Source organism: Homo sapiens, chromosome 1 (assembly GCF_000001405.40).
Source record: "Homo sapiens chromosome 1, GRCh38.p14 Primary Assembly".
Taxonomy (NCBI): Eukaryota; Metazoa; Chordata; class Mammalia; order Primates; family Hominidae; genus Homo; species Homo sapiens.
In genome coordinates, this window is record NC_000001.11 from 182,746,904 (window position 1) to 182,752,903 (window position 6,000).

Genomic DNA, 6,000 nt, shown 5'->3' on the forward strand with positions numbered 1-6,000 from the left:
GCTTTTGTTATTGTTTTTGAGACAGATTCTTGCTGTGTTGCCCAGGCTGGAGTGCAATGGCATGAACATAGCTCACTGGATCCTCCTGTTTCAACCTCCCAAGTAGCTGGGACTACAGGCACGTGTCAACACTGCTGGTCTTTTTTTTTTTTTTTTTTTTTTTTTTTTTTTTTTTTTGTAGAGATGGAGATCTCGTTATATTGCCCAGGCTGGTTCAAACTCCTGGGCTCAAGCAATCTTCCTCCCTCAGCTTCACAAAGCACTGGGATTACAGGCCTGAGCCACCATTCCTGGCCCTGCATCTTCTATCTTTAGACACATGTAATTTCAGCTAAGGTTATTATGAATTGAACCAGGAGATCCAGAGTTATTTTGGCAGCTGTGAAAACAAAAGCAGTAATACTAAGCTTCTTTTATCCATTTAATTTGGAGCTTTTTCAAGGAGAAAAAGTAAATTTCAGTGTGCTTCCCATTTAAAGATGCCATGCAGAGAATGTTTTGTGTTTTCACAAGTCTTTCCAGTGGTTAAGGAGTGCTGTAACATAAGGGGTAGAACTGATAGCCTATTTCTGTCAGAGACACTATCTTAATGGGTATATTGCTATTCAAGGTCTGATCTGTACTTGCAAACACAATAACCACTTCACTCAGAAATGAGCCAGCTATGGGAGATTGGACCCTACCAACTGTGGCCACTACTTAATTTCCAGCCAGGGAGATATCTCTGACCCAAGAGTGGAACAAGCAAGAGGCATCAAGCGGTTCCCTTCCAATAGGCAACACCATGCAGAAAAGAAAGCAACATTGAAAGTTAGTCCAGGCTTGGCCAGGCGCATTGGCTCATGCCTGTAATCCCAGAACTTTGGGAGGCTGAGGTGGGAGAATGACCTGAGTTTAAGACCTGCCTGGTCAATGTGGCGGAACCCCGTCTCTACTAAAAATACGAAAAAAAAAAAAAAGGTAGTCCAGGCAGTGTTTAAATCAGAGCTCCATCATTTTCTTTTTTGTTTTGTCTGTTTCTTACATCTTTTCCTGGCTCTTTATTTTTGAGTATGTTTTATGCTTTTTTTATTTTTAAAAGTTTGCTTTTTTTAAATTGACAGGTATCATTGTGTCCAACATGCTGTTTTGAAGTACATACACATTGTAGAATGGTTAAATTTAGGTAATTAACAAATACATTACCTCACCTAGTTATCATTTTTGTGATGAGACCAAATAACCTTCAATCTCTTTATGTTTATCAAGAATACAATATTTCACCAACTGTAGTTGTGTTGCTGTACAATAGATCTCTTGAAATTTATTCCTCTTGTCTAACCATAATTATGTATCCTTTGACCAACATCTTCCCATTTCCCCCTCTCCTAACCATCTCTGCCTATGGCAACCACCATTCTATTCCCAACTTCTATGTGATAACTTTGTAAAGATTTCACATGTGAGTGAGATCATGCAGTATTTGTCTTTCTGTGCCCAGCTTATTGCACTTAACATAATATCCTCCAGGTTAATTGTTGCAAATGGCAGGATTTCATTCTTTTTATGGCTGAATAATATCCCATTGTGTATATACACCACATTTTCTTATCCATTCATCCATTGATGGACACTTAGGTTGATTCCATGTCTTGGCTATTGTGAACAGTGCTGTGATTAACACAAGAGTGCAGATATCTCTGACATATTGATTTCAATTTCTTTGGATATATACCCAGTAGTGGAGTTACTGGATCATATGGTAGTTCTATTTAAAATTTTTCGAGGAAACTTCATACTGTTTTTCATAAGGGCTGCATTAATTTACATTCCTGCTAATAGTATATAAGGGTTCCCTTTTCTCCACATCCTCCCCAGCACTTGTTCTGTTTTGTCTTTTTTATACTGTTCATTCTAACTGGGTGAAATGGTATCTCATTGGGATTTTATTTTGCATTTCCCTGACAATTAGTGATGTTGAGCATATTTTCATATACCTGCTGGCCATTGTATGTCTTCTTTTGGGAAATGCTTATTCAGGTCTTTTGCCTATTTTTTTTATCAGGTTATTTGGTCTTTTGCTGTTGTTTGCACTCCTTATATATTTTGAATGTTAACTCTGAAATGTATAGTTTGCAAATATTTTCTCCCACTCTGCAGGTTGTCTCTTCTATCTGTTATTTCTTTTGCTGTGCAGAAGCTTTTTAGTTTGATGTAATCCCATTTGTCTACTTTTACATTTGTTGTCTGTACTTTTGAGGTCTTATCCAAAAAATCCTGGCCCAGACCAGTGTTATGAAATGATTCTCCTGTGTTGTCTTCTAGTCGTTTCATAGCTTCAGGTCTTACACTTAAGTCTTTAATCTATTTTGAGTTAATTTTGTATATGGCAAGAGAGGAAGGTCTAATTTTTTTAATTCTCCATGTGGATATCCAGTCTTCCCAATACCATTTATTGAAGAGGACTTTATTTCCCCATTATGTACTTGGTGTTTCAATAATGAGTTGGATTTAAATGCATGGATTTAGTTCTGGGCTCTCTTTTCTGTTCCTTTGGTCTATGTGTCTGTTTTAATACCACACACTGTACCATGTTGTTTTGATTACTAGGACTTTGTAGTATACTTTGAAATCAGGTAGTGTGACACCTCCAGCTTTGCTCTTTTTACTCAAGATTACTTTTGCTATTTGAGGTCTTTTGTGATTCCATATGAATTTTAGGATTTTTTTTCTATTTCTGTTAAGCATATCACTGGTATTTTCAAACAGATTGCATTAAATCTTCAGCTCTACCATTTTCTGATGGGTGACTGAGGACATTACTTAACCTCTCTCTTTTTCTGAATTTTATTTTACTTCAAGTTCCAGGATACGTGTGCAGAACATGCAGGTTTGTTACACAGGTAAATGTGTGCCATGGTGGTTTGCTGCACCTATCACCCCATCACCTAGGTATTAAGCCCTACATGCATTAGTTATTTGTCCTGATGCTCTCCCTTCCCTGATGCCCCAACAGGCCCCAGTGTGTGTTGTTCCCCTGCCTGTGTCCATGTGTTCTCACTGTACTTAACCTCTCTTAGTCTGTTTCTTCATCTAAAAATGGGGCTTTTAATACCTACCTCAGAAGGTTGTTATGAAAGTTAAGTAAGTTAATATACATAAAAGTTCTCAATAGGACCAAGCACATAGGTGCTCATTAATAAAACTAGTAAACAAATTATAGATCAGAAAATTATTTAGTGAATGCAGAATTAGAACACATAGTATGAGATATGTTTAACAGCTCTTTCTTTTGGGCTATGGAAGCCTAATAAATTTTTTCTTTTTACTCTACAAAACTGGAACTGGTCAGTGAAAATGGCCTACCCTCTTTTCTGAACAAAAATAAAGATGTGGTGAGGGTTCCCATGTCCACATTTTTTAGTTCCAGGCTCTGTGCAGACCAACACCCTTTTTTGGAACTTGTCTTTGTAATACTACCCATCTTTACATCAACAATAGTTCAGATCCTTGACTTTACAGATGATTTTTCTTTCTTTATAATCAACAGGAAGATACTTAAACCCATTGGCAAAAAATACCCTATGTCTTAGGTTGAATTGCTTCTGACATTTTTCTATATATTTTTATACAATTCTGTCACAAAAGGTGACAGTTTTTTCTTGGATTCTTGGATTATCTTGTTCTCTCACTAAACTTGTTTGTTGAGGGTTCCTCTAACTGCAAACAGATAGCCACCAAAATTTCTCCATCAATTAAAAACAACCAATAAATGTAGACTTTTAAGTTTTATCATGCAACATAAATGCATTGAATACCTTCATGTTTATGAAGTAGGCAAAGAAGAACAATTTATAGCCCATGCTTTTAGGAAGTTTACTATCTAGACTCTAGATACTAGACTAGATACTATCTAGACTCTAGATACTAGACTAGATACTATCTAGACTCTAGATTCTAGAGGATGTAGGTATATAAATAAACAGCTACAACTTAAGGCAGAATGTAATACTCACTTTATATGAGATATGCAGAAAGAGCACAGATGAAAGAAGTTATTTCTGATTTGGCTTTAAAATAAAGCAAAGTTTCCTGGAGAGGGGACATTTGCATCTTGAAGAATGGATAACATTTTGATGGAGAAAAAGAAGAGCTGGGCATTACAGAGGGAATGTCATGAAAATGAAAGAACTTGTTTGGGGAACAAGTAGTTAAGGTGGGCTATGATATGGGGGCAGGGGAAGCAACTTCATTTGAAGATAGAACTAAACAGAAAGAAGAAATCAGAACATGGAAATAAAGATCATGCCAAGAACTTTGAGATTTGTTGTGTAGGCAATGTGGCATGTTTAGAAGGCTTTGAGCCAAGAATTGGCATGATTACATCTACACTTTTAAAATAAATTATGCAATCAATAGCTTATTAGATAGTTTAAAAGAGAAAAGACTAAAACCTAGGCATACTATTTTCATTAACTCATTCATTTATTTATCATATATGTGTTGAGAACCCTATTAGGTGTCAGGTACCAGGGTCATGTACAGTGTTTAATAAGACAGACACAGTCCCTGCACGCGTGCCTACGTACAAATCAGATGAAAAATAATTGGGCTCTGAACAGGAGGAGTGTGTGATTAAAAAGGGGTTCATTTTCCCTGTCTTCCCAGAGCTGTGGCTCAGAGGAGCTTAAATGACCTCTGAGTCACATCCTACCACATACATTTAATATTTTTTTCTAACCAACAACTTAAGATCAATGATTTTTGCTATGATTTAGCCTATAAAAGCCTAGATTGGTCTGAATTTTATTCCAAGCATTAGGTACATAATATACTTTCTCACATTCAAAAAGATATACCATATACATAATTGAATTAGGAATTCTGATATACAAGAATACATACTTGCAGATAAAGGCTGGATCATTAAAACTAGAAGCAACCTTCCAGAATACGTTGGAAACTCTAATCATCAGATCAACTTAACCCCTTGGCATTTTATTTGGCCTACAATATTGGGTTCTGGTTGTTTTTGTTTTATTTGAATTTGAACATCTTCAGGCAAGGCATTTATTCTCCAGTTCCTCACAGGCGCCGCGGTTCCTATTGTCTTACACCCAGACAATCCATTCACTTCTGTCACCTATCTGACCCCCAGAGGCATTTGTGTTTGTCACCTGATACTTTCCCAACTCCTTTCTTGGCCATGAACCCCACAGCTGAGAAACATAAGAGCCAGAGAGATCCCAAGCCACCTCATGTCACAGTGTTAGTTTATGACAGAGACAAGACTTCCAAGCCATCCCACCTCCTGACATGACAGCAGAGGCTGGGCTGAGCCAGCTGACAGAACATTCCTGAGGGGTTACCTTACATCCTAGCAGCCACAGGAGTCGGCACATCAACCGGTCCTGCTCCAGAATGGCCAGTAATTCAAGACCCGGCCACAGACGAGACACAGGTGGTTCCTGTCAGGAACAGCATTTCCTGGTATGGGAAGCCTGTTCTCTCTGGGGATGCTTGGTCAGATGGGACAGTGGCAGCTTTGTCTTTTCATTAGAAATTCCTCCTGTTGTCCATCTACACAAGGGGAACTGACTGTGCAGTAGAATGACTAAAGAAAGATGCTAAAGTTGGAACTGGGGACAATCCAAGTTGGCGGCCACTGAATCACGAGGAGATTCTATACTGCCTTTTGTTCTTCCCTCCAGCTTGAGTGACTCAGTTGTTGAAATTTTGTGGCAAGACACCTGGAAGCCATTTGTCTTTTTTATTAAGGACTCATTCACGGGGTAAAAACGTAATAATGTTCATTTACCATCACTCCATTACCCAGAGCACCAGATTGCTGCTAATTCAATGTGGTGCTGATTCAGTCATCGCATCACTGAGGCAACATTCTTCTGTGAAAGCTATTTATGTCCCGGCACCATTTGAAAGGCCCTTTAGATCCTTTTTGAAACATTCAAGTCCCAGAGAGGCAGCCTGATCTGCAGAGCACTGCACAGGATGTAGGTCTGA

The 6,000-nt window shown here is 38.1% G+C and overlaps 1 protein-coding gene across 2 annotated transcripts in view; it reads right to left on the reverse strand.

Moving 5' to 3' along the window:
* RGS8 (regulator of G protein signaling 8) overlaps positions 1-5,473 on the reverse strand; it is a 110,559-nt gene extending 105,086 nt beyond the window's left edge. For both annotated transcript variants that reach the window (XM_011510089.4, NM_001387847.1), the window contains exon 1: positions 5,349-5,473. The gene's annotated coding sequence lies outside the window, so the exon portion shown is untranslated. The remainder of the gene's footprint in view (positions 1-5,348) is intronic.
* Between the last annotated feature and the right edge of the window lie 527 nt (positions 5,474-6,000).